The 27,387-nt window shown below is 50.4% G+C and overlaps 3 protein-coding genes and 1 pseudogene across 4 annotated transcripts; 1 reads left to right on the top strand and 3 right to left on the bottom strand.

The window, feature by feature from the left end:
* The window catches only part of LOC124901865 (translation initiation factor IF-2-like), a 451,468-nt pseudogene that overhangs the window by 280,237 nt on the left and 143,844 nt on the right, over window positions 1–27,387 (bottom strand).
* Window positions 790–6,364, top strand: PRR23D2 (proline rich 23 domain containing 2). Of its 2 annotated transcripts, XM_011543811.3 has the most exons (5): window positions 790–1,455; window positions 3,621–3,795; window positions 4,559–4,620; window positions 4,866–4,933; window positions 5,162–6,364. In XM_011543811.3, exons 2-5 carry the CDS (start codon window positions 3,719–3,721, stop codon window positions 5,792–5,794), a joined length of 840 nt encoding a protein of 279 aa, XP_011542113.1. In that variant the 5' UTR covers window positions 790–1,455; window positions 3,621–3,718; the 3' UTR covers window positions 5,795–6,364. The 2 variants fall into 2 exon arrangements, with proteins under 2 accessions (XP_011542113.1, NP_001269407.1); NM_001282478.1 differs by lacking the exon at window positions 790–1,455 and having other exon boundaries at window positions 3,542–3,795.
* Window positions 12,967–15,978, bottom strand: FAM90A10 (family with sequence similarity 90 member A10). Its single transcript, NM_001164447.1, has 4 exons — window positions 15,856–15,978; window positions 15,162–15,361; window positions 14,595–14,703; window positions 12,967–13,929 (listed from the first exon to the last, which is right to left on the bottom strand). The coding sequence occupies exons 1-4, from the start codon at window positions 15,976–15,978 to the stop codon at window positions 12,967–12,969; spliced, it is 1,395 nt and encodes a 464-aa protein (NP_001157919.1).
* FAM90A9 (family with sequence similarity 90 member A9) lies at window positions 20,615–23,625 on the bottom strand. The gene is made up of 4 exons (NM_001164448.1): window positions 23,503–23,625; window positions 22,809–23,008; window positions 22,242–22,350; window positions 20,615–21,577 (listed from the first exon to the last, which is right to left on the bottom strand). The coding sequence occupies exons 1-4, from the start codon at window positions 23,623–23,625 to the stop codon at window positions 20,615–20,617; spliced, it is 1,395 nt and encodes a 464-aa protein (NP_001157920.1).

Below are 27,387 nucleotides of genomic sequence, written 5' to 3'. Positions count from 1 at the left end.
CAGATAAAGCACCAGCAAACTAAAACACCCTAACTTCTCAGTCACCATGCAAGCCCTTTTATATCAAATGCAATGGACTTTTCCACAAGCAAAATGAATCTTCTGACCAGCAGGCATCCTCTGCTTTGACTCGGGCTTGGATACATATTGTGCTTCAACAAATCTCAGTACTGAATCTAAATATCAAGGAGAAGTGGTCCCAGGAAATATACTGAGAGGACTTTGAGCTTTTACCAAACTGCACAATCCCAAAATCATAGACTTTACTGAGGCCAATTAAATTGGCTAATTCATGGGTGAAAGTGAAACATCATAATGTTTACAAATCTGCCCAACTGTTTTTACGTTAAAGCCAGGGTTTATGTCAATTCCTGTGTGAGGATGAGGAGACATCAATTCAAGCCCATGACAATCTGGAAGGACAGGCAGAGGCTGTGTCCAGGCAGGCCTCACATTATTTATACTTTGACCTATTTAATTAAATATGTAATGTTCTCCAAATTTTAGATGTCATTTGCTGTAATCCTGACCCACTAAGATGTACTATTTGTGCTGTAAAATTGTATTGTATTTGACAAATGCATAGTGGCAGATCTCTGGCATTAAAGCATCACACAGAATGTTTCTCTTATTCGAGCTCCTCTTTCCTCCACATACAGGGAATCAACAGACTATTTTATACGGTCTTTGGACTTTGCTTCTTTATTTCCACCCTCTTTCATAAAAAAAAAAAGAAAAAGAAAAAAGATACCGTGCTCCATTTGCATTTGATCTTCCAAAAGGAAGGTACTGATAAAACCGGAATTTCAGCGATACAGACGCAGGTCAACCGCTAAACAGTGAAGGCCAAGAGTCCCGCGCTGCAAGCCCATAGCCGGCAGAGGGCAATGGAACTCGCTTTCTGGTCGTGCGGGGCGCATGCGCATTCTGCTTGCGGAAGCGGGGCCAGATCGCCAAGGAAGAAGGGAACTTCCCTTCCTCAGGCCAGGGAGGAGGAGGCGCCGCCCTGGCTTTGGGGCAAATGGGGCTGCATCCATCTTAAGGAAAACGCTGCTGTTCACAGCCCTACCTGCTGAGGAGTGAGATTCCCTGCGCGTCTCCCGGATATTTTTCTGAAACAGCACTAAAGACTTAATGTTCTGGGCTGTTCCTACGTGTTTTCTTCTGCACTGTCTGTTGGGATATATTAGCAAGAATTATTTTACAAATCTACGTATTCCTTAGGGATTTTCATTGATAACCATAGCAGGCCGTAATGTGCCTTCCTCGCAACCTCTGTCAGGATTCATTATGAGGAGAAACACAAGAAGAATTGTGAGGAAAATCTACAGAATACGGGGACCCTGCAGAGGAAGGAGTATGTGGCCGGGGCACGGCGGCGCACTGTCGCGCAGCTCGCGAGAAAGGGGCCCCTGCAGGGAAACCCCGCACTCTGCATCCCTGCATTTCCACATTGTGAGGGGCTCATCTTTCCTACAGTGCCAAATTCACTGAAAAATAGTGAGACAATGAAAGGGAGGGGCACTAATGCATCCTTTAATTGTTGCTATTAAAACGGCAAGAGCCACGTCTTTAATTTTACCCTAGCACTGCAGATTTAAAAGTGATTTTCATTACACATGCAAGGGGAAAGCTACACTTTTGTGAAAAATAGTTTCTACCCCAAATGAAAACATATTGCTTAAATATTTCTTCAAAAATAAGTTATTATTCTGTGCTGCAGGATATATCCTGAGACATTTATGCTGCAAATTTATTAATTTATCTATTAAAACATTTGGTTTATAATCAAAGCGATTATAAAGGTAGAATATATATTTGGCACGTCCCTCATATTTTTATTCTTGTACTGGTTTGCAGTCCATAGGTTTTCAGCTAGACGTGACACACAGAAACTCACCATGAGGAGCCTTTCTCTTTCTTGACTGTAAAATATACATACTCCAGAATCATCAATAGAGGCTATTTCTTGAATATCTCAACCTGAACCCCGCAGCCAGAAAGAATGTAGGCAATTAATCCAATTTTATAACTGCAGCTGATATTCAGCTAATTACCTGCTGTTCTCCTCAGAAATTATCAAAATCCCCAAAGCAGAGAGTTCTCTGGATAAAGGCACTAATGTTCCCCTTGGAGGCTTTTAAGACATTGGCAAAATTAAAGGAATCTTCCTGTTTTCCTTTTATTCATCTAAATGATTTATCTAACTGGAGAAGAAAGCTTCAGTGCAAAAGGCATCTGCTAATTAGATTCAATTTTTTTTTAACATTTAAGGGAAACAGGGTCTATACTTCACCTAATAAAACTGATGAAATTATCAGCTAAATGCAAAGAGAATCCACAAACAAATTTATACAAGTTCTAGAGAGAGGATGAAGCCCTGAGCTCAGGGGCCTGTTAGAGATGGCACGCTCAGTAATGGTGCACCCTCACAGATTTTCCTTCTAGTTCAGTTCTAGTGATTACTGGATTACTGTTTTCCCCCAATACCATCTATTATTCTTTATACTGTCAAATAATTTTTAATCTTAAAATGACTAATTCTGAGTTCAGGCATATGGTGTCTGGCCACCTGCAAGAAGTTTAGGTGACTTTGCCAATAAGAATGATGGATTTGTAATTAATAAGTAATGTTGAAAGCAAAACTTGCATTACAATTCTGAAATTAGTCCAGCGGGGATACAGGCAAGAAATAAATTAACAGACAGATTAATACACAGTGATATATTAGAAATTAAGTAAAGGTTCTTTTTGTATTTTCCCCAGCTTGTCTTATAGTATTCGCTTCTTCTGTTTGGATAACTTTCCCCAGGAGATTCATTTTAAAACTTAATTCACTTAAAATAACGTATTTTTTTTTATTTAAAAATACTGTCAGCCCTCCACATCCATAGGTTCCATATTCATGGATCCAACTAATCTTGAATAGAAAATATTCACAAAAGATTTGCACAAGTTTCTTCAGAGAAACTTTAAATTTTCCATGCATCACATTCTTTTTGAGTTCACATAAATGACGTGACGTCTGGGCATTGCATTAAGTATTGTAAGTAATCTAGAGATCATTTAAATTATATAAATTAATGTGATTATGTTATATTCAAATTCTACGCCGTTTTATACAAGGGACTTGAGTATATACAAATTGTGGCATATTTAAAGTTTCCTAGACCCAATCCTTTATGTTTACTAAGAAACGACGTACACATGAACTTTACAGAAAATAACTGTCCTACCAAATTAATGAACAGACTACAATAGAAAGTAAATATTGCTAGTTTAAAATACTGTTATTTTATGTCACAATTATATGGTGAATCAGAGTAGAGATCTTGAATTAATTTTGATTGAATTAGGCTAATTCTGACTGGGTCACACTCATATTGACTGAGTTTTGATAAAACCACTCCCATGCTGGCCCTTCATGTTGTTTAATCAGCACCACTAGCCAATCACATTCATCCATTTTGACAAATCCCATGGCTCCACCTCTTATAAGACCCTTGGAGGATTTCCCCAAGAGCTCACTCTACCAAAGCACCATTTGACCGGTCCCAGGCCAGGACACACTCTTCCATGCTCTGGCTGTGCTGTGCTAGAGGCTGATAATTTTTCTCCAGGTAGAGTAAAAGATCAAGGCACGAACTATATAGATTTACAGAAAATAGGCCAAAGATTGAGATTTTTTTGACACAAGCAAGTCCAGAGAACTTTTACCATGTATGGTTACCGGCGCTTAAGAAGCCCCAGAGATTCCCAGACAGAACCGCAGAATGACAATGAAGGAGAGACCAGGTATGTTGGAGTATGTGGCTACTTTGGGTTGCCAGGAGGTTGACATGTGACTGTGTGTGACTGTATGTGTGTGTGTGTGTGTGAATGTATGCTAAAGGGCCAAACTAGGGCAGAGAAGACACCCTGGCCTGCCATGACATTGAATGTTATAAATTTAGAACACATTGGGGAGACATGAGACCCACAGTGGAGGCCACAGGATGCAGCCAGCATGGGGGGTTTCTGCAGCCTGTCAGGGGGCTCATCTCATGTTTCTTCCCATTGTTAATCTCTGTCCTCTGGGTAAACAGAAGTTGCCTCTTGTGTGGAGACAGGTAAACTGTGGGCATGATCTAAATTTTTTCCTTGTGCTCACTAGAAAATGGAACATTTCATGTCATTTATCACTCCATTCACACTGTAACTGCATAGACACAGGGGTTAGATACCCGGAAAATCAGCATCTTCTCCTAAAGTCCTCGGGCCAAATTTGATGTCCCTCCTTCTCATGTGGATGAGCTCCTGAAAAAGCAAACTGTTTCCTGTGATCGCCATGTCTTATCACACACATGCACCGATAGGAAAAGCCTCTAGAAAAGGAGAGGGTGGGATATGAGTGTTAGGACTTTCTGGATGCAGGTAGGATTTGGAGCTGAACACAAGTGCATGTGATTTTGGGCCACAGCAGCAATGTGTGCCGGATGACTAATGAAGTTTGGGGCTTGTGAGAATTGGACTTTGTGTCACTATGTGGAAGATTGATGGGTCCCTTTCTGTCCTGCAGTTTGGCTACCACACAAATGAATCCACCCAAACGTCGCCAAGTGGAGCAGGGTCCCAGTACAGGTAAGGCACTTTCCCTAATATTTTTTAAGATTCCCATGCCTGGAAGTCAGTGTCATGTCTCATGATACCATAAATGGAGAGGGTGCTTTCTGCAGGGTGAGTGGAAAGTCGTGCTTGACTGTTGGGGGCTGGTGTCCTGAGGCTGGCCAGTGCTGGGTGGTGGATTTCTGAAGGTCACATTCTGAAATGCAAGAGACTCTTGCTGGAAGAGAGCCTTAACCTCCCTCACTGTGGTCTCTCTGCAGGTGCAAAAAAACCCTCAATTTCAGGAGCTCCACACCTGAATTCATACCAGTCCCTGGAACTTCCCCAGGTAAGTTCCTGTGTCCTTGCATAGCAAAGATTGGACAGTGCTGCACAATCTTCAGGTTCAAGGGACATCCAGTGGATGTATATTTAGGTGGATTGGCATGAGCACCAATTCTGGGAGGGAGTTTGTATTTTAAAGTTGTAAAGGGTGAAGCTCCTGGCATCTCCCTCCCCATGAGCATCATTTGCAGCCTTTTTGGAGGGCAGAATACTGAGGACTGTCTTTCCACAGAATCAGCAGGATTCTGGCACTGAGGAGCTCATGATAGTCCTGGAACAAGGGACAGAAGTGAGGTTGAGCCTGGAAGAGGTCATCCTCATCTTGGCCCCAGAGACAGTGCTGCAGCTGACCCTGGAGAACACAGTCCTTGTGATTGTCCCTGAGCATGTCCTGAGGTCAGAAGATGGCCTGCAGTCCCCTGTGCAGATCCAGTACATCATACCTTCCGTTGATGACTTCAGCTTGGAGTTCCATGCTCAAGATGGAGACATCTCAGACATGAGAAGAGAGAATGTGCCTTTTTCACCTGCAGAAGAAGGGAAGGCAGCACCCCTGTATCAGCAGCCCTTGATGATACCCCAAGCAAACCACATGGCTGGGATCAGCCCTTCTTTCCTAGTAACCCCATTGTGCATTCCACGCTGTCGGGCAGCCTTCCCCCAATGCTACCCTCTACCACCCACACCTAGTCCTGTGGGACGCCCTAGACCAGCCGACTCCAGTTTCAGCCTGCATGGTATGGAGCTCTTGTGCACCTCCTCCCTCAGACCTATGCCCCCTTCACCAAGTCCTGGTCCCCAGGTCTATCACAGGGTTCACCATAGGCCTCCCAGCAGGGCACGGAGATGTCTCTTTAGGAAGTGATTTAACCCAAGAGCCACCCCCTGCATTGATAGGTCAGAGATTGTCCAGATCCTTAGTCAGTGCATTCTCTGAAATGTGGAGAGAAAGTAATTTGACCACTTGCTTGCCCTTTGCTGTTCCCCATCATCAACCACTGTCTTCAACAGCGGAGGGTCCCAGATGCTGCAGGGAGGGGGAGAACTGCAGGGAGTTCAAATAAAACATTCACATTTCACTTCACACACACTGTCCCTTAGACTTTCTCTTCCTATTTAAGCACATACATCCAACCACACTCAATCAAATCCCTGACTGCTCCATGTGAGAGTTCTGCTTCCAGCATGACGTGGTCTGAAAGTTCATCTGAAGACAGCTGCTCACTCCCGGGGGCTAACACCGCCCCTTGCATGCTGATGTCCTTGTAGTCATTGGTCTGATGCCACAATAAATAATTCCTAAGGCTGATGCTCTATTTCTGCCCTGAGACTCTCCCCTTTTTCTCCAAGCTGTGCCCCATTCCTTGTCTTAGTCCAGGTTCCCTACACTCCCCAGGCCAATGCTTTTGAATAAATCTTGACGTCATTGAATGAAGTAGTGGTGACTGCTGTGCTTGCTTCCAACTGAGACACTCTCCTGCTCTCACTCATCACGTTTCCATTCACATTTGCCTTTGTTTAGTTTTGTTTTCCATTGTTTGGGTTTATTATTCATGTACTTATGAAATAACTGCCACATTTCTGACAGTTTTTTTGGCCAATTTGGGGCTTTTCCTGTGCTCCTCCTTCCAAGTCCTGAGTGGGGTCACTGTTTGCACCTCTGGGCCCTGGGATGGGTCTGGCTTAGCAAATGGTTGAACAGAGCTTAGCTCTGTGTGTTGGGACGGGCACCTGCACTTGCTCACAGCTGCTTCCAGGCTCTCCCTGTCCTGCCTGGACGTCTCTGTGTCTCTGGAGTGTCTAGGAAGTCTAGAAGTTCTCTTGAGGGCCCAGCACCTCTTTGTTGGCCTGCATGTCCCAGCCTGTATGTCCATGGCCAGCTAGAGCTACCACTAGCTTTTCCTGGCCAACCTGGGAGCTCAGGCCTGAGTCCTGGAGGCAGGGGAGATGCAGGGATAATGTCCTGGCCTTCTGGAGCCCAACTCCAGTAGGTGGGGAGTGCTCATGACCCTGCGGGGAGTACAGGGCGTTTGCCCTTGACTTGCCTGAGCCTCTAAAACCTCACATGTCCCCTGGAGGTGGGTGCAGCTTCCTCCTACTCTGGCCTTGCTGGCCTGGGAAGGGCGTCCTTGGTCCCTTGAACCCTCACAGCATTTTCTCTTCTACTGAGGTTTCAGGAACTGCGTTTCCCCTCTGGGAAGGAGGACAGGGACTCTTTCAGGTTTGATTCTCCTCGGGGTTTTAGACGTTGGCTGAGGTGGGAACTGCCTTCATCCACATGAAAGGCCCAGCCAGGGCATCCTCACCAGCCTGGGCCTCTGGGTAGGTTCTGAGTCTGGTCGCTGGAGAGGCCGCTTCTGTGAGCCCCAAGACAGCAGCCCCTGTGAAGGCCATTCTCCTCTGTTCCCTCAGGGTGTCAGGACCCGCCTGTGTCCAGGAAGTCCCCTCTGAGACTAGATTGTCCTTGGTGCAGCCCTCCCAGAGCCGTGCAGAGGCAGATGTGGTGCACTGGGCCTGGGCTCTGAGGAAGCAGTGGTAGCGGGGGCCAGGGAGGACCCAGGCTCTAGGGCAAGGGAGTGTCTAACCTGGGTAGAGCTGGGCCGCATTCAGGGAGTGGCACTCCAGGGTTCTGTTTCAGGTGGAGCAGGGGCCAACTCAGGATCAAGTACCTCTCCTTCCACCTCCAGGACTCACCCAGGGGCAGGCGGGAGCTCCAGGTTCTTCTCCTCCTCCTCCTCCTCCTCCTCCATGTGTTTTCTCTTGCTTTATTTCTCTGAGTCAAGAAATTGGGGCTGTCCTTCATATCGGTGAATTTTGACCCTAATCATCATGACCTTGTTGAGGAAAAGAGTCATACTCTGCAAAATATTTGGAGATATTTATTCTGAGCCAAATATGATTGACCATGTCGTGTGACCCAGCCCTCAGGAGGTTCTGAGAACGTGTGTCCAAGGTGATCAGGGTGCAGCTTGGTTTTATGCATTTTAGGGAGACATGACTTCAACTAAGTGCATTTAAGAAATACGTTGATTTGATCCAGAAAAGTGGGACAACTTGAAGGAGGGGGGCTTCCAGCTTATAGATAGATTTAAAAATTATCTGGTTGATAATTGGATGAGTTTATCTAAGACCAGGGATCTATTGAAAGGAAATGTTTAGGTTAAGATAAAGAGGTGGGGAGGCCAAGTTTTACTGTGCAGAGGAACCTTCAGATAGTAGACTTGAGAGGGAGTAGGTTGTAAAATGTTTCTTATTGGATTTAAAAGGGAGCCTGGTCTTTGTTGATTATCTCCTGTGTCTGGAAAGAAAGAAAGAAGAAAAAAAGGTGGGGAGCCTTAACCTCCCTCACTGTGGTCTCACCACAGATGCAGAAACACCCTTACTTCAAAGAATTCCTCACATGAATTCATTCCAGGCCTGGAATCACCCCAGGTAACTCCCTATGTTCATGGATAGCAAAGATTGGACTATGTTGCATAATCTCCAGGCCACAAGACACATCCAGTGGTGGTGCATTCAGCAGGGTCAGCATGACTGCCACTTCTAGGAGGAAATTTGTATTTTAAAGTTGTAGAGGGTGAAGCTGCTCCAGCTCCCTCCCCAGGAGCATCATTTGCAGTCTTTTTTGAAGGCAGTGGACTGAGGGCTGTCGTTCCACAGCAGCAGCAGAATTCCAGCACAGAGACGTTCATCATCGTGGTCCCGGAACAAGGGACAGAACTCACACTGAGACTGGAAGAGTATGTCCTCATCCTGTCCCCACAGACAGCCCTGCCCTGACCCTGGGTAACAGCGTATTTGTGGTTGTGCCTGAGCATGTCCTGAGGTCACTGGATGGCCTGCAGTTCCCTCTGCAGATCGATTACATCTAGCACTCTGTGGATGACTTCACCTTGGAGTTCCATGTTCAAGACAGAGACACCTCAGACATGAAAGAGACAATGTGCCGCGCTCACCTACAGAAGAGGGGGAGGCAGAACCCGTATGTCACCAGCCCTTGATGAGATCCGAAGAAAACCATGTTGCTTGGCTCAGCGCTTCTCTTTCAATAATCCTACTGCGCATTGCATACTTTCTCCTCTGTGCCCTACCCTTTACCAACCACACCTAGTCCAGTGGGATTCGCTAGACCAGCCAATCTCAGCTTCAGCCTGTATAGGATGGAGACTTTGCCCAACTCCTCCCTCAGACCTATGCACCCTTCACCAAGTCCAGCACTCAGGTCTGCCACAGGGTTCACCATAGTTCTCCAACCAGAGCACGAAGATGTGTTTTCAAGAAGGGATGTAGCCAAGATCCACCACTTACATTGATAGATCAGAGATTGGCCAAATCCTTAGTCAGTGCATGCCCTAAAATGTGGAGGGAGAGTAGTTCCAGGAACCTCTTGCTTCCCCTTCTCTGTTTCCCATCATGATCCATTGTGCTCACTAGCAGAGGATCCCAGATGCTGCAGGGAGACGAAGAACTGCAAGGTGTGTAAATAAAGTGCTCCCATTTCACTTGGCACACAGTGTCCCTTAGAATTTCTCTTCCATATTCAACCTCTTAAATGCAACCACACTCAATCAAATCCCTTACTCCTCAACGTGAGGGTTCTGCTTTCAGCATGCTTTCAGTGGCGTGAAAATTCACCTGAAGAACTCTGCTCACTCCCAGGGCTAACACAGCCCCTTGATTGCTGGTGTCCATGTAGTCATTGGTCTGATGTATAGATAATAATTCCTAAGCTTGACACTGTATGTATGCCCTGAGATTTTCACCATTTTCTCCGTGCTGTGACCCAGTCCTTGTCTTTGTTCAGGTTCCCCACACTCCCCAGGCCAATACTTTTCAATAAATACTGAAATTATAGGATGAAATAGTGGTGACTGCTGTGATTGCTTCCAAGTGAGACACGCTTCTGCTCTGGCTCATCAAGTTTACATTACCACTTGCCATTCCTAAGTTTTGTTTTCAATTTTTGGTTTGTATTTCATATACCTGTACACTAAATTTCATGATTTGGGCAGCATTTTTTTTATAAAGGCAGGGCCATAACTTTGAGGAGGACAGACAAGTTTCTATCTCCTTCGTGTAGAAAAAAAAAGGCAATCACAATGCTGATTTCAAACATGTTGGATAAAACAGTAACCAGGCATGTCCGGTGTGTAGAGTGAGATGCTACTGTGTTTTGAAACACAATGGAAAGGCTCTTGATTAATGTATCTTATGAGGAGAGGCCTAAATATAAATTTAAAAAATAGTTACAGTTGTGTATCACTGCATAAGTATCTAAAAAAAGAACGACAACTGGATAACACAAGTGAGGGTCTATGTTCCCTGAACCGGAAGAGACAGGCAGGAGTCGGAATGATGAACCAGCACACTGGGGCATTTTCTCATGTAGCCCAAGTGACCCCATGGTCTTCTCGAGCTTTGGAACCAGTCGCGTCCCCTTTGACACTGCACCCGGCTCCCAGTCTCTCAATCTTGTTGGCCCTCCGGCGATCTCCCGTTGGATGAATTGCTCCTGCTGAAACTCGAGTCCCCTTTGATTTGCGCTTCATTAATTATTCATGATTCAGGTTGGAAGGCCTGCTGACGACCCCCTGTGGCGGTTCTCTGAGCTTTCCTGTCACATCGTTTCCTTCCACGCTCTTTGGTTCCTTATGGTCCTGCTCCTTCTGCTGTCAGAGGAGCAGAGAGTTGATCTTATTCATTCTGGATACGGATACTTTCTAGGTGATCTGGATAATCAAGATAACGACCCTCAACAGCGGCGGAGAGGGAGCAGCCAGTTGGTGTGTCTCAGAAAATCCCACTGAGTTCCGAGGCCTCCTAGATGTGGAATCCTGCTGAGAGTTGTTCCCAGGTCAGAGAATGGAGAGAGCCTGTGCATGATGGGATATCCCTGCCTAGATCTTTCAGTGAGTCTCTACCTCAGCTACTCTTAGGATCAGGGGGAGAACCATGGTGTCAGACATCCGGAAAGAAGACGGGATGAATGTTTTACCTCTGAAGTACATCCCAAATGTGGGAGTTAACTTCAGTTTTGCTGGGGTCTATTTGGCCAGTGAAACGCTGCCTGGTTCATTCGCACATCCGGAAGCCACTTCACAGGGGGCCGTCGCAACTGGAACCACACACTTGGCATCGGCGGTTGAGCCAAATGGGGACTCGTGGTGCAAGCAACGCTCCCCACGTGTTAGCGTGCGTGAGATTCGGTTGGCGGAATTTTACTAGGTGCGTGTTGGTAGAGTGGGGCTGAGGTTTTCTTGCTCCTGTGGATGTATAGGAAGTCAAAGTCCTGCCCAGACCTGCGGTCCCATCAGTCAACTCTGTTTCGGAGACGTAACGATTTGGATTGCCAACAAGTCAAGAAATGTTCAAGCCCGTGGATGTAGGGTAAAGAAAGAGAGATCAGACTGTCACTGTGTCTATGTAGAAGGGGAAGACATAAGAGACTCCATTTTGAAAAAGACCTGTAGTTTAAACAATTGCTTTGCTGAGATGTTGATCATTTGTAGCTTTGCTGCAGCCCCTTCCTTTGACCCAACTTGGAGCTCACAAAAAACCTGTGTTGTAGAAAATCGAGGTTTAAGGGATCTAGGGCTGTGCAGGACGCGCCTTGTTAACCAAATGTTTAAGAGCAGTATACTTGGTAGAAGTCATTGCCATTCTCTAGTCTCAATAAACCAGGAGTGCAATGCACCGTGGAAAGCCACAGGGACCTCTGCCCTTGAAAGCAGGGTATTGTCCAAGGTTTCTCCCCATGTGACAGTCTGAAATATGGCCTCGTGGGATGGGAAAGACCTGACTGTCCCCCAGCCCGACACCCGCAATGGGTCTGTGCTGAGGTGGATTAGTCAAAGAGGAAAGCCTCTTGCAGTTCAGATGGAGGAAGGCCACTGTCTCCTGCTTGCCCCTGGGAACTGAATGTCTCGGTGTAAAGCCCGATCGTACATTTGTTCAACTCTGAGCTCGGAGAAAAGCAGCCCTGCGGCGGGAGGCGAGACATGTTGGCAGTAATGCTGCCTTGTTATTCTTTACTCCGCTGAGATGTTTGGGTGGAGAGAAACATAAATCTGGCCTACGTGCACGTCCAGGCATAGTACCTTCCCTTGAACTTAATAATGATATGGATTCTTTTGCTCACGTGTTTTTTTTTTTTTTTTTTTTTTTTTTTGTTGACCTTCCCCTTATTATCACCCTGCTCCCCTACTACATTCCTTTGTGCTGAAATAATGAACATCATAATCAATAAAAACTGCGGGAACTCAGAGGCCGGTGCCGGTGCAGGTCCTTGGTGTGCTGAGTGCCGGTCCCCTGGACCCACTGTTGTCTCCCTATACTTTGTCTCTGTGTCTGATTTCTTTTCTCCGTCTCTCATCCCACCCGACTAGAAACACCCACAGGTGTGGAGGGGCGGGCCACCCCTTCACTTGGAAAATCAGTTACACACAAACACGGAATGAGAGTCAAAAGACAATATGTCATCTTTTTGAGAATTTTATTCACTTCAAAACACATTAAACACACATATGTACAAAGGCATTCCAGAGCCCAGTTTTCGAGGCTGAGGAAAGACCCCGAGAGCGCTTCGCACAGCACGCTTCCCAGCGTCCGAAACACTGCTCTCAGGGCGGGGCACAGCGGAAGGGCTGCACCTCTCAGGGTTCCCTAACTTTTCCCTTATTCAGTCATCTAGACAGCAAATACACAGTAATTCCCCAGTTTCCTATTGACGTCCCAGCGGAAGTCTGACTCCTGCGCGTCACGCAGTTTCTGAGGCAACGAATCTCTGGCACGGAAGCTTTTCCTGGCGCGTTTCGGGAGAACCACGCCAACTACAACGTCCCTCACCAGAATTCAATGAGGCAGAGTCCCTGCATCTGCTCCCTGCCTGGCCTGGGCTCCCACATCCACAGAAGCGCCACAGCCGGGGAGCTTCGGAGTCACCGCACAGAGTGTGCTCTCTGCTCTGCGCTCCTCAGTCCCACAGTCCCCTCCAAGTCACGGGAGCTGGAGGCCAAGGAGCCCCTGCCACCTGCAGTCTCACTCCAGGTCAGAATCGCTGTCCTCTGAGGAGGAGGAAACCTGAAGGTCCTCATAGAGGACGCTCGGTGGGACACGAACACAGGGAGCCTCAGACTTCTCTGACACATGAGGGCTCTGAGCGAGGAAGGCTCCCGGCTTCTCAGGAGAGTGAAATGAGGGGGCGGCCAGGAGGCTGGAGCTCCAGCGTCCGTTTTCCAGTCTCCGGAAGAGCACTCTGAGAGGCTGGGCCCCATCATGGCCGGCCGCTGGGTGATGGGACATGGTGCAGGCCTGGGCAGTAGGCAGGCAAGGTGTGCTGTGCGGAGGCTGCCAGTCGACGCTGGGCACCTGGGCCGGTGTCCTCCTGCCCATCTGGGGCGACGTACTTGGTCCAAGTTCGGTTGCGGCTGGCGGAGGTTGGAGATTCTCCGGGGCCCCCAGCTCACCTCCCTGGATGGCGCTTTCGGGGATCTGGAAGGGACCCAGTCTCGGTTTCTTGGGGAAGTTCAGGCAAGCCTGAATCGGAGCCTGGGCAGGTCTCTTGGCTCCCGGCCCGAAGCTGAGATTGGAGCCTAGGCCCAAGCTGTGTGTGGCGGCTGGCGGGCAGGGCTGTGAGGTCACCGCAGGACGTTTGTCTTGTGCCTGGGGTCTGGCGGCCTGGAGCAGGCCGTGGGTTTTGGAGGCAGCCTGGGGAACTTCTCGGCAGCCACCCTCAGGGCTGCTGTGTGTCGGCTTCACCACGAGGAGAGGCTCGGGGCCCTGGTGCCTGAATGCAGGCTGAGGGATGTCGGCCGCAGCCCCTGTCTGTCTTTCCTTTGGTCCAAGACTTGAGGAGGAGCTCAGGCTGGCTTTTCTGAGGGGAGACAGTGAAGCCAAGACGGAGCCCCTGCCAGACATTTCGGTAGCTGAGCGATCAGCGAGGACAGGGTCCACGCGCGGCCTCTTACTGGTTGTGTGGACCGGCATTGGCCCGCTTGCAACCTGAAAGAGAGGAAACAACACAGGTTAGAAGTTCCACGGCATGGAGCCAACGTGAAAATCAAACATATCCAAAGACAAGGTGCACACGCCATGAAATTCTTAGTACAGTATCGACAGGCGGTCCTTGGAAGTAGGGACAGATCCCTCCACCTGAGTGCTGATCAGGACAAGACACATGAAAGGTGCGCTCTCGAGCTATGTGTAGCTGATCTAAGCACACCATTGTTCAAAAGATCGCGTCTTGGGCATTAACTGGATCAAAGCGCCTCCACTCAGCCTTCCATGAAGTGGAACGGACTAATGCCCTTCCCGAGGCAGGTTGGTGGCTCAAGGGTACTCGGGACGTCTTCTCTGAACACATGCATGTTCCTGGGTTTAGCCTTCTCCACGTTTGGGGCCTCTGAGGGACTAATTTCCTCATGCCGCTAGGAACGTGTTGTTGGCAGGCTTGCCATAATTGGACAGAAAGAAAGCAACAGGAAATACGGCATGTTCAGATGCCTTCGCCTGGAATCCAATTGACCTGGAAGGATTGTGGAGTCCCTGACCCCAAGAAGGCAAGAAAGAGGGGTTCCCCGATTTCCTCCCACAGACGGGAAGCTGAAAGGAAATCAACCAGGGTGACCTAGAGGAGAAAAGGACCAGGGGCCCGGGGTGACACTCACCCTCAGATGCTCAGAAGATTCCGTGGATCCTTTTCCATTCGGCAGCGGCTTCTCTGGAGGTTTCCCGGAAAACATGTGGAGGAGAGCCTTCCTCTGCGGGTCTTGTTGCCTGCAGAACAGAAAAAGGTCAGGCGGTGCCCCCTGGTTTTCCCCAGGAGACAGGGAGAACCCCGTCTGGGGCCCAGCCCCATTCCGTGTTTTGTGATACAGAAATGGACATCTGGTGCCCTTTCCGCCTCTGCACCTTCCCTCACGTGCCAACCTTCCCATCCTCCAGGTGGCCCTCTAGGCTTCCCGACTAAGGACTGTGATTTGGATTCCATCGCTTTTCCCGCTGTCGTGGGGAACCTGCACGAAGCGCCCCCGCCTCTCCCCGTCCCTGAATCTCCCAGAGCCCAAGGAGCTCCTGGGTGTGGAACCCCGGAGGACACGGAGCTCCGGCCTATTTCTCTGCAGCGCTCCTTCCCTGGCCCGGAGACGGAAAGGCACACGGTGTGCAGGTGCAGAGACACCATCTCCTTAGGAGGCAGCACCCTAAGAGTGGTGAAAACCCCTCCCACTGCTCACCTTGGTCTCTCTTCCTTCTCTCCCTTATCCTTGTTCAAGGGCCCCGGGTTGGCTTCACCCCGGGGCTTCCATGGTTTCAGGTTTTCCTTCCCTTCCTTTTTCCCCAAGGTCGCTGGAACCAGGGCTGCCTTCCAGCACTTCATGGGGCACGTGGTACTTCTGGCCGTGTGGCCAAAGGCCCCGCAGTTTTTGCACTTGAGCTGTGGGTGGAAAGGAAGTGATGTCAGTGAGTGAGCTGAAGCCACAGGCAGCGATCCCACGTCAACATTGGGACGGATTGTGAATTCAGAGCTGAATAAGGATTCCAAAGAGGGGACACCGGCATGGGGGCCGTTAAGTGCTGGGAGAGTTCGGATACGATGTTCCCTCGCAAAGCCCTTGTGACGGAGGAACTCTGAAAGGAAGGACTCAAGGTTCCAAGGGGCACGATGGTGAAGCCGATGTCAACAACGCAGCCAAACGTGGCTACACAGGACTCGAAGTAGAAAGGGAGGTTGCCCCCAAGAGTCTCTCAAGGGACCTATCGGGCCGGGGAGAAGGTCCCAAGCCACGCCCACCTTGGATGGGAAAAGCAACCTGGCTGGTGGTGACAGAACTCTTTGGAATCCAACCCAGTCTCTGAGGACCGTGGGACACCGCCTCCCCCCGTCCCCACCCCCACCCCGATACCCAAGAGATCCAGGGCTAGACTTACCCTGGGATCTTCTTCATCGGGCGGGGGAGCCCTTGGCCCAACTGGGGCCCTCCGCTGCTTCTGGAGGGTCTGGGCTCTCACCAGTCTCTTGGCCCAAGATTTGGGGTCCCGACGTGCCATCATCTTCGTCTCCTGGGGGTTTTATGACCGCCTTTTTCAGGGGTGGACTGTTGGGCCACCTGAAACACACACAAACACACACATGTCGATGGTTAAGCACGTTGGATATTCACACACCCACAGGAAGCCACCTGCTAACTCCCTGCCTGTGTGGTCATGAGGAGACCTCACCACCAGTCGGTCAAATCTGTAGAACACAATGTGCTGTGCGCATCCTCGGATATTGTGTGTTCCTCTGCCATGACTACCTAGTCCAAGAGTAAACCCCACCTGCCACAGGGCCCGTGGCCTAGGTATGGGGGGTTGAGCTTTCAACCCCAAACAAACAACTGATTCTGGAGACTGGACTTAGGTCTCTCACGATTCACTCCGGTAGAAGACACGGTGATTCTATCTCCCTTGACGGACAGAATGATCGAAGACACAGGGCATGGCGTGTGCCACCCTTTGGCAGGTCTGCTTGAAGTCACGGATAAGGGATGCTTCCTGTGACAACTTGAATCGCTACTCTTGCCATTTCATTAGGCAACTTCCAAGCACAAATTCATACAGAGAAGTTACCTTCCTCTCTACCGCACTAGCAGGTGAGGATCTTTCCTGTTCTATCTTTTAGCTTTAGCTCCAGCCCCTCTTTATTTATTTTCCTGGTATTTTACGCACACCACACGAATTCATCTGAACAAACGGGGAAGAAGTGCCGTATCGTATCGACGTCTTACACGGCTGAAGGGCAAACCCCCCTTTTTTCCAAAGTCTTTTTTCCATTTACCCACCAATTCAGCATGCTGCAGTACATTTCTTTTCCCATTCCCATCTTGGTCTTCTCCCACACGTGGAGACGGATATGTTGTCTCGTTTTCTGTTCCAAGAATTACTAGTAACGAGAACACATCCTACCCCACCAGCAAGCCCCAGTGTGATCGGTTTCTTTCGGCCTCCTTTGTCTCTTCCTCCCCCACACCCCCCGCAAATACCCCTCAGGGATTGCGTGAAACAAACAATTGTTCAGCGAAACTAACCTGAAATTACACGTCTACTTTCATTCCCAGGCTGGCGCTGAGATGGGCAGGTGCTGCAGCAGCCCGGCTGGAAGCGATGCAGCATCCAGGACGACGGAGGAAGGGGCAGAGAGGGACCTCCGCTTTCCAGGCTGCCTTTTATACTGCCTCTGGTCACCTGACATGGAACGTACCCTAACCTAATCAGTTACCTGTACCTTAATTGCAATTAACTTAATCCAATTACATGACCTGGAAAGGTCTATCTGCACAGCCCACTCTAAGATCATGTCCACTGCTGACAGACATTCTAAAACCTACTTGTACAGCTGCAAGCTTTGAACAATAGATGTTCCCCGTCAGACATGTAACACTGGTGCCTGTACCCCTGTCTTCTTTTCCATCTTTTTTGTTGTTTTGTTTTGTTTTGTTTTAAAAAATGTGGTAAAATAGACACCTTTTAATTGGACCACATTTTGTCTATCTCGACGTAGGCCTCAGTGTCATCAAGGAGACTCTCCTTGACATGCAGTCACGGCCATGATCCATCTTCAGAGCTTCTCTTTCTTCCCCAAGGTAAGTCTGTCAGCAGAGAACCCTGACCGCACCCTCATGTGTTTTCTCCCCCAGGAGGCGCTTGGAAACAACCGTGAATTGGACCGCACTGGGAAACACAGATGAGGAAAGTCAACAACGCTTTGTCCTTCAGTGCCTGGCTCCTTTTTCAGCTCCTCTTGCGACTCCAGGCATTATGCCTGAAAAGTCTCCCGGACGCCTGTGAGGCTGTAATTCCCTGGGTCCCATTGCCATGTCTCTGGATTTGCGAAGATCCACCGCACCTTCTGTGGAACTCCCGTGTCGGTGAACTTTTGTGCCACGGCCCCTAATTCTGCCCATGGTCATCCGCACCTGCACGACTTAGGGTCCATGTTCCTTGGACGGGAAGAGACAGGCAGGAGTCGGAATGATGAACCAGCACACTGGGGCGTTTTCTCATGTAGCCCAAGTGACCCCATGGTCTTCTCGAGCTTTGGAACCAGTCGCGTCCCCTTTGACACTGCACCCGGCTCCCAGTCACTCAATCTTGTTGGCCCTCCGGCGATCTCCCGTTGGATGAATTGCTCCTGCTGAAACTCGAGTCCCCTTTGATTTGCGCTTCATTAATTATTCATGATTCAGGTTGGAAGGCCTGCTGACGACCCCCTGTGGCCGTTCTCTGAGCTTTCCTGTCACATCGTTTCCTTCCACGCTCTTTGGTTCCTTACGGTCCTGCTCCTTCTGCTGTCAGAGGAGCAGAGAGTTGATCTTATTCATTCTGGATACGGATACTTTCTAGGTGATCTGGATAATCAAGATAACGACCCTCAACAGCGGCGGAGAGGGAGCAGCCAGTTGGTGTGTCTCAGAAAATCCCGCTGAGTTCCGAGGCCTCCTAGATGTGGAATCCTGCTGAGAGTTGTTCCCAGGTCAGAGAATGGAGAGAGCCTGTGCATGATGGGATATCCCCGCCTAGATCTTTCAGTGAGTCTCTGCCTCAGCTACTCTTAGGATCAGGGGGAGAACCATGGTGTCAGACATCCGGAAAGAAGACGGGATGAATGTTTTACCTCTGAAGTACATCCCAAATGTGGGAGTTAACTTCAGCTTTGCTGGGGTCTATTTGGCCAGTGAAACTCTGCCTGGTTCCTTCGCACATCCGGAAGCCACTTCACGGGGGGCCGTCGCAACTGGAACCACACACTTGGCATCGGCGGTTGAGCCAAATGGGGACTCGTGGTGCAAGCAACGCTCCCCACGTGTTAGCGTGCGTGAGATTCGGTTGGCGGAATTTTACTAGGTGCGTGTTGGTAGAGTGGGGCTGAGGTTTTCTTGCTCCTGTGGATGTATAGGAAGTCAAAGGTCCTGCCCAGCCCTGCGGTCCCCTCAGTCAACTCTGTTTCGGAGACGTAACGATTTGGATTGCCAACAAGTCAAGAAATGTTCAAGCCCTTGGATGTAGGGTAAAGAAAGAGAGATCAGACTGTCACTGTGTCTATGTAGAAGGGGAAGACATAAGAGACTCCATTTTGAAAAAGACCTGTAGTTTAAACAATTGCTTTGCTGAGATGTTGTTCATTTGTTGCCTTGCCGCAGCCCCTTCCTTTGACCCAACTTGGAGCTCACAAAAACCTGTGTTGTATAAAATCGAGGTTTAAGGGATCTAGGGCTGTGCAGGACGCGCCTTGTTAACCAAATGTTTACGAGCAGTATACTTGGTAGAAGTCATTGCCATTCTCTAGTCTCAATAAACCAGGGGTGCAATGCACCGTGGAAAGCCACAGGGACCTCTGCCCTTGAAAGCAGGGTATTGTCCAAGGTTTCTCCCCATGTGACAGTCTGAAATATGGCCTCGTGGGATGGGAAAGTCCTGAATGTCCCCTAGCCTGACACCCGCAATGGGTCTGTGCTGAGGTGGATTAGTCAAAGAGGAACGCCTCTTGCAGTTCAGATGGAGGAAGGCCACTGTCTCCTGCTTGCCCCTGGGAACTGAATGTCTCGGTGTAAAGCCCGATCGTACATTTGTTCAACTCTGAGCTCGGCGAAAAGCTGCCCTGTGGCGGGAGGCGAGACATGTTGGCAGTAATGCTGCCTTGTTATTCTTTACTCCGCTGAGATATTTGTGTGGAGAGAAACATAAATCTGGCCTACGTGCACGTCCAGGCATAGTACCTTCCCTTGAACTTAATAATGATATGGATTCTTTTGCTCACGTGTTTGTTTTGTGTTGTTTTTGTTGACCTTCCCCTTATTATCACCCTGCTCCCCTACTGCATTCCTTTGTGCTGAAATAATGAAAATCACAATCAATAAAAACTGCGGGAACTCAGAGGCCGGTGCCGGTGCAGGTCCTAGGTGTGCTGAGTGCCGGTCCCCTGGACCCACTGTTGTCTCCCTATACTTTGTCTCTGTGTCTTATTTCTTTTCTCCGTCTCTCATCCCACCCGACTAGAAACACCCACAGGTGTGGAGGGGCAGGCCACCCCTTCACTTGGAAAATCAGTTACACACAAACACGGAATGAGAGTCAAAAGACAATATGTCATCTTCTTGAGAATTTTATTCACTTCAAAACACATTAAACACACATATGTACAAAGGCATTCCAGAGCCCAGTTTTCGAGGCTGAGGAAAGACCCCGAGAGCGCTTCGCACAGCACGCTTCCCAGCGTCCGAAACACTGCTCTCAGGGCGGGGCACAGCGGAAGGGCTGCACCTCTCAGGGTTCCCTAACTTTTCCCTTATTCAGTCATCTAGAGAGCAAATACACAGTAATTCCCCAGTTTCCTATTGACGTCCCAGCGGAAGTCTGACTCCTGCGCGTCACGCAGTTTCTGAGGCAACGAATCTCTGGCACGGAAGCTTTTCCTGGCGCGTTTCCGGAGAACCACGCCAACTACAACGTCCCTCACCAGAATTCAATGAGGCAGAGTCCCTGCATCTGCTCCCTGCCTGGCCTGGGCTCCCACATCCACAGAAGCGCCACAGCCGGGGAGCTTCGGAGTCACCGCACAGAGTGTGCTCTCTGCTCTGCGCTCCTCAGTCCCACAGTCCCCTCCAAGTCACGGGAACTGGAGGCCAAGGAGCCCCTGCCACCTGCAGTCTCACTCCAGGTCAGAATCGCTGTCCTCTGAGGAGGAGGAAACCTGAAGGTCCTCATAGAGGACGCTCGGTGGGACACGAACACAGGGAGCCTCAGACTTCTCTGACACATGAGGGCTCTGAGCGAGGAAGGTTCCCGGCTTCTCAGGAGAGTGAAATGAGGGGGCCGCCAGGAGGCTGGAGCTCCAGCGTCCGTTTTCCAGTCTCCGGAAGAGCACTCTGAGAGGCTGGGCCCCATCATGGCTGGCCGCTGAGTGATGGGACATGGTGCAGGCCTGGGCAGTAGGCAGGCAAGGTGTGCTGTGCGGAGGCTGCCGGTCGACGCTGGGCACCTGGGCCGGTGTCCTCCTGCCCATCTGGGGCGACGTACTTGGTCCAAGTTCGGTTGCGGCTGGCGGAGGTTGGAGATTCTCCGGGGCCCCCAGCTCACCTCCCTGGATGGCGCTTTCGGGGATCTGGAAGGGACCCAGTCTCGGTTTCTTGGGGAAGTTCAGGCAAGCCTGAATCGGAGCCTGGGCAGGTCTCTTGGCTCCTGGCCCGAAGCTGAGATTGGAGCCTAGGCCCAAGCTGTGTGTGGCGGCTGGCGGGCAGGGCTGCGAGGTCACCGCAGGACGTTTGTCTTGTGCCTGGGGTCTGGCGGCCTGGAGCAGGCCGTGGGTTTTGGAGGCAGCCTGGGGAACTTCTCGGCAGCCACCCTCGGGGCTGCTGTGTGTCGGCTTCACCACGAGGAGAGGCTCGCGGCCCTGGTGCCTGACTGCAGGCTGAGGCATGTCGGCCGCAGCCCCTGTCTGTCTTTCCTTTGGTCCAAGACTTGAGGAGGAGCTCAGGCTGGCTTTTCTGAGGGGAGACAGTGAAGCCAAGACGGAGCCCCTGCCAGACATTTCGGCAGCTGAGCGATCAGCGAGGACAGGGTCCACGCGCGGCCTCTTACTGGTTGTGTGGACCGGCATTGGCCCGCTTGCAACCTGAAAGAGAGGAAACAACACAGGTTAGAAGTTCCTCAGCATGGAGCCAACGTGAAAATCAAGCACATCCAAAGACAAGGTGCACACGCCATGAAATTCTTAGTACAGTATCGACAGGCGGTCCTTGGAAGTAGGGACAGACCCTCCACCTGAGTGCTGATCAGGACAAGACACATGAAAGATGCGCTCTCGAGCTATGTGTAGCTGATCTAAGCACACCATTGTTCAAAAGATCGCGTCTTGGGCATTAACTGGATCAAAGCGCCTCCACTCAGCCTTCCATGAAGTGGAACGGACTAATGCCCTTCCCGAGGCAGGTTGCTGGCTCAAGGGTACTCGGGACGTCTTCTCTGAACACATGCATGTTCCTGGGTTTCGCCTTCTCCACGTTTGGGGCCTCTGAGGGACTAATTTCCTCATGCCGCTAGGAACGTGTTGTTGGCAGGCTTGCCATAATTGGACAGAAAGAAAGCCACAGGAAATACGGCATCTTCAGATGCCTTCGCCTGGAATCCAATTGACCTGGAAGGATCGTGGAGTCCCTGACCCCAAGAAGGCAAGAAAGAGGGGTTCCCCGATTTCCTCCCGCAGACGGGAAGCTGAAAGGAAATCAACCAGGGTGACCTAGAGGAGAAAAGGACCAGGGGCCCGGGGTGACACTCACCCTCAGATGATCAGAAGACTCCGTGGATCCTTTTCCATTCGGCAGCGGCTTCTCTGGAGGTTTCCCGGAAAACATGTGGAGGAGAGCCTTCCTCTGCGGGTCTTGTTGCCTGCAGAACAGAAAAAGGTCAGGCCGTGCCCCCTGGTTTTCCCCAGGAGACAGGGAGAGCCCCGTCTGGGGCCCAGCCCCATTCCGTGTTTTGTGATACAGAAATGGACATCTGGTGCCCTTTCCGCCTCTGCACCTTCCCTCACGTGCCAACCTTCCCATCCTCCAGGTGGCCCTCTAGGCTTCCGAACTAAGGACTGTGATTTGGATTCCATCGCTTTTCCCCCTGTCGTGGGGAACCTGCACGAAGCGCCCCCGCCTCTCCCCGTCCCTGAATCTCCCAGAGCCCAAGGAGCTCCTGGGTGTGGAACCCCGGAGGACACGGAGCTCCGGCCTATTTCTCTGCAGCGCTCCTTCCCTGGCCCGGAGACGGAAAGGCACACGGTGTGCAGGTGCAGAGACACCATGTCCTTAGGAGGCAGCATCCTAAGAGTGGTGAAAACCCCTCCCACTGCTCACCTTGGTCTCTCTTCCTTCTCTCCCTTATCCTTGTTCAAGGGCCCCGGGTTGGCTTCAACCCGGGGCTTCCATGGTTTCAGGTTTTCCTTCCCTTCCTTTTTCCCCAAGGTCGCTGGAACCAGGGCTGCCTTCCAGCACTTCATGGGGCACCTGGTACTTCTGGCCGTGTGGCCAAAGGCCCCGCAGTTTTTGCACTTGAGCTGTGGGTGGAAAGGAAGTGATGTCAGTGAGTGAGCTGAAGCCACAGGCAGCGATCCCACGTCAACATTGGGACGGATTGTGAATTCAGAGCTGAATAAGGATTCCAAAGAGGGGACACCGGCATGGGGGCCGTTAAGTGCCGGGAGAGTTCGGGTACGATGTTCCCTCGCAAAGCCCATGGGACGGAGGAACTCTGAAAGGAAGGACTCAAGGTTCCAAGGGGCACGATGGTGAAGCCGATGTCAACAACGCAGCCAAACGTGGCTACACAGGACTCTAAGTAGAAAGGGAGGTTGCCCCCAAGAGTCTCTCAAGGGACCTATCGGGCCGGGGAGAAGGTCCCAAGCCACGCCCACCTTGGATGGGAAAAGCAACCTGGCTGGTGGTGACAGAACTCTTTGGAATCCAACCCAGTCTCTGAGGACCGTGGGACACCCCCTCCCCCCGTCCCCACCCCCACCCCGATACCCAAGAGATCCAGGGCTAGACTTACCCTGGGATCTTCTTCATCGGGCGGGGGAGCCCTTGGCCCAACTGGGGCCCTCCGCTGCTTCTGGAGGGTCTGGGCTCTCACCAGTCTCTTGGCCCAAGATTTGGGGTCCCGACGTGCCATCATCTTCGTCTCCTGGGGGTTTTATGACCGCCTTTTTCAGGGGTGGACTGTTGGGCCACCTGAAACACACACAAACACACACATGTCGATGGTTAAGCACGTTGGATATTCACACACCCACAGGAAGCCACCTGCTAACTCCCTGCCTGTGTGGTCATGAGGAGACCTCACCACCAGTGGGTCAAATCTGTAGAACACAATGTGCTGTGCGCATCCTCGGATATTGTGTGTTCCTCTGCCATGACTACCTAGTCCAAGAGTAAACCCCACCTGCCACAGGGCCCGTGGCCTAGGTATGGGGGGTTGAGCTTTCAACCCCAAACAAACAACTGATTCTGGAGACTGGACTTAGGTCTCTCACGGTTCACTCCGGTAGAAGACACGGTGATTCTATCTCCCTTGACGGACAGAATGATCGAAGACACAGGGCATGGCGTGTGCCACCCTTTGGCAGGTCTGCTTGAAGTCACGGATAAGGGATGCTTCCTGTGATAACTTGAATCGCTACTCTTGCCATTTCATTAGGCAACTTCCAAACACAAATTCATACAGAGAAGTTACCTTCCTCTCTACCGCACTAGCAGGTGATGATCTTTCCTGTTCTATCTTTTGGCTTTAGCTCCAGCCCCTCTTTATTTATTTTCCTGGTATTTTACGCATACCACACGAATTCATCTGAACAAACGGGGAAGAAGTGCCGTATCGTATCGACGTCTTACACGGCTGAAGGGCAAACCCCCCTTTTTTCCAAAGTCCTTTTTCCATTTACCCACCAACTCAGCATGCTGCAGTACATTTCTTTTCGCATTCCCATCTTGGTCTTCTCCCACACGTGGAGACGGATATGTTGTCTCGTTTTCTGTTCCAAGAATTACTAGTAACGAGAACACATCCTACCCCACCAGCAAGCCCCAGTGTGATCGGTTTCTTTCGGACTCCTTTGTCTCTTCCTCCCCCCGCCCCTCCCCGCCAAAACCACTCAGGGATTGCGTGAAACAAACAATTGTTCAGCGAAACTAACCTGAAATTACACGTCTACTTTCTTTCCCAGGCTGGCGCTGAGATGGGCAGGTGCTGCAGCAGCCCCGCTGGAAGCGATGCAGCATCCAGGACGACGGAGGAAGGGGCGGAGAGGGACCTCTGCTTTCCAGGCTGCCTTTTATACTGCCTCTGGTCACCTGACATGGAACGTACCCTAACCTAATCAGTTACCTGTACCTTAATTGCAATTAACTTAATCCAATTACATGACCTGGAAAGGTCTATCTGCACAGCCCACTCTAAGATCATGTCCACTGCTGACAGACATTCTAAAACCTACTTGTACAGCTGCAAGCTTTGAACAATAGATGTTCCCCGTCAGACATGTAACACTGGTGCCTGTACCCCTGTCTTCTTTTCCATCTTTTCTGTTGTTTTGTTTTGTTTTGTTTTAAAAAATGTGGTAAAATAGACACCTTTTAATTGGACCACATTTTGTCTATCTCGACGTAGGCCTCAGTGTCATCAAGGAGACTCTGCTTGACATGCAGTCACGGCCATGATCCATCTTCAGAGCTTCTCTTTCTTCCCCAAGGTAAGTCTGTCAGCAGAGAACCCTGACCGCACCCTCATGTGTTTTCTCCCCCAGGAGGCGCTTGGAAACCACCGTGAATTGGACCGCACTGGGAAACACAGATGAGGAAAGTCAACAACGCTTTGTCCTTCAGTGCCTGGCTCCTTTTTCAGCTCGTCTTGCGACTCCAGGCATTATGCCTGAAAAGTCTCCCGGACGCCTGTGAGGCTGTAATTCCCTGGGTCCCATTGCCATGTCTCTGGATTTGCGAAGATCCACCGCACCTTCTGTGGAACTCCCGTGTCGGTGAACTTTTGTGCCACGGCCCCTAATTCTGCCCATGGTCATCCGCACCTGCACGACTTAGGGTCCATGTTCCTTGGACGGGAAGAGACAGGCAGGAGTCGGAATGATGAACCAGCACACTGGGGCGTTTTCTCATGTAGCCCAAGTGACCCCATGGTCTTCTCGAGCTTTGGAACCAGTCGCGTCCCCTTTGACACTGCACCCGGCTCCCAGTCTCTCAATCTTGTTGGCCCTCCGGCGATCTCCCGTTGGATGGATTGCTCCTGCTGAAACTCGAGTCCCCTTTGATTTGCGCTTCATTAATTATTCATGATTCAGGTTCGAAGGCCTGCTGACGACCCCCTGTGGCCGTTCTCTGAGCTTTCCTGTCACATCGTTTCCTTCCACGCTCTTTGGTTCCTTATGGTCCTGCTCCTTCTGCTGTCAGAGGAGCAGAGAGTTGATCTTATTCATTCTGGATACGGATACTTTCTAGGTGATCTGGATAATCAAGATAACGACCCTCAACAGCGGCGGAGAGGGAGCAGCCAGTTGGTGTGTCTCAGAAAATCCCGCTGAGTTCCGAGGCCTCCTAGATGTGGAATCCTGCTGAGAGTTGTTCCCAGGTCAGAGAATGGAGAGAGCCTGTGCATGATGGGATATCCCCGCCTAGATCTTTCAGTGAGTCTCTGCCTCAGCTACTCTTAGGATCAGGGGGAGAACCATGGTGTCAGACATCCGGAAAGAAGACGGGATGAATGTTTTACCTCTGAAGTACATCCCAAATGTGGGAGTTAACTTCAGCTTTGCTGGGGTCTATTTGGCCAGTGAAACTCTGCCTGGTTCCTTCGCACATCCGGAAGCCACTTCACGGGGGGCCGTCGCAACTGGAACCACACACTTGGCATCGGCGGTTGAGCCAAATGGGGACTCGTGGTGCAAGCAACGCTCCCCACGTGTTAGCGTGCGTGAGATTCGGTTGGCGGAATTTTACTAGGTGCGTGTTGGTAGAGTGGGGCTGAGGTTTTCTTGCTCCTGTGGATGTATAGGAAGTCAAAGGTCCTGCCCAGCCCTGCGGTCCCCTCAGTCAACTCTGTTTCGGAGACGTAACGATTTGGATTGCCAACAAGTCAAGAAATGTTCAAGCCCTTGGATGTAGGGTAAAGAAAGAGAGATCAGACTGTCACTGTGTCTATGTAGAAGGGGAAGACATAAGAGACTCCATTTTGAAAAAGACCTGTAGTTTAAACAATTGCTTTGCTGAGATGTTGATCATTTGTAGCTTTCCCGCAGCCCCTTCCTTTGACCCAACTTGGAGCTCACAAAAACCTGTGTTGTATAAAATCGAGGTTTAAGGGATCTAGGGCTGTGCAGGACGCGCCTTGTTTACCAAATGTTTACGAGCAGTATCCTTGGTAGGAGTCATTGCCATTCCCTAGTCTCAATAAACCAGGGGTGCAATGCACCGTGGAAAGCCACAGGGACCTCTGCCCTTGAAAGCAGGGTATTGTCCAAGGTTTCTCCCCATGTGACAGTCTGAAATATGGCCTCGTGGGATGGAAAAGACCGGACTGTCCCCCAGCCTGACACCCGCAATGGGTCTGTGCTGAGGTGGATTAGTCAAAGAGGAACGCCTCTTGCAGTTCAGATGGAGGAAGGCCACTGTCTCCTGCTTGCCCCTGGGAACTGAATGTCTCGGTGTAAAGCCCGATCGTACATTTGTTCAACTCTGAGCTCGGCGAAAAGCTGCCCTGTGGCGGGAGGCGAGACATGCTGGCAGTAATGCTGCCTTGTTATTCTTTACTCCGCTGAGATATTTGTGTGGAGAGAAACATAAATCTGGCCTACGTGCACGTCCAGGCATAGTACCTTCCCTTGAACTTAATAATGATATGGATTCTTTTGCTCACGTGTTTGTTTTTTGT

This window comes from Homo sapiens, chromosome 8, assembly GCF_000001405.40.
Source record: "Homo sapiens chromosome 8, GRCh38.p14 Primary Assembly".
Taxonomy (NCBI): domain Eukaryota; kingdom Metazoa; phylum Chordata; class Mammalia; order Primates; family Hominidae; genus Homo; species Homo sapiens.
This window is presented reverse-complemented; position numbering and strand designations above follow the sequence as displayed.

Bases quoted from the DNA above. Each gene is read 5' to 3' on its own strand.
- PRR23D2 (XM_011543811.3), top strand. From the start codon at position 3,719: ATGTATGGTTACCGGCGCTTAAGAAGCCCCAGAGATTCCCAGACAGAA. The intron at 4,621-4,865 runs GTAAGGCACTTT...GTCTCTCTGCAG, and splicing joins GGAGCAGGGTCCCAGTACAG to GTGCAAAAAAACCCTCAATT. The intron at 4,934-5,161 runs GTAAGTTCCTGT...GTCTTTCCACAG, and splicing joins AGTCCCTGGAACTTCCCCAG to AATCAGCAGGATTCTGGCAC.
- FAM90A10 (NM_001164447.1), bottom strand. From the start codon at position 15,978: ATGATGGCACGTCGGGACCCCAAATCTTGGGCCAAGAGACTGGTGAGA. The intron at 14,704-15,161 runs GTGAGCAGTGGG...TCTGTTCTGCAG, and splicing joins GAGAAGGAAGAGAGACCAAG to GCAACAAGACCCGCAGAGGA. The intron at 13,930-14,594 runs GTGAGTGTCACC...CCTCTCTTTCAG, and splicing joins AATCTTCTGAGCATCTGAGG to GTTGCAAGCGGGCCAATGCC.
- FAM90A9 (NM_001164448.1), bottom strand. From the start codon at position 23,625: ATGATGGCACGTCGGGACCCCAAATCTTGGGCCAAGAGACTGGTGAGA. The intron at 23,009-23,502 runs GTAAGTCTAGCC...TTCCACCCACAG, and splicing joins CCGATGAAGAAGATCCCAGG to CTCAAGTGCAAAAACTGCGG. The intron at 21,578-22,241 runs GTGAGTGTCACC...CCTCTCTTTCAG, and splicing joins AGTCTTCTGATCATCTGAGG to GTTGCAAGCGGGCCAATGCC.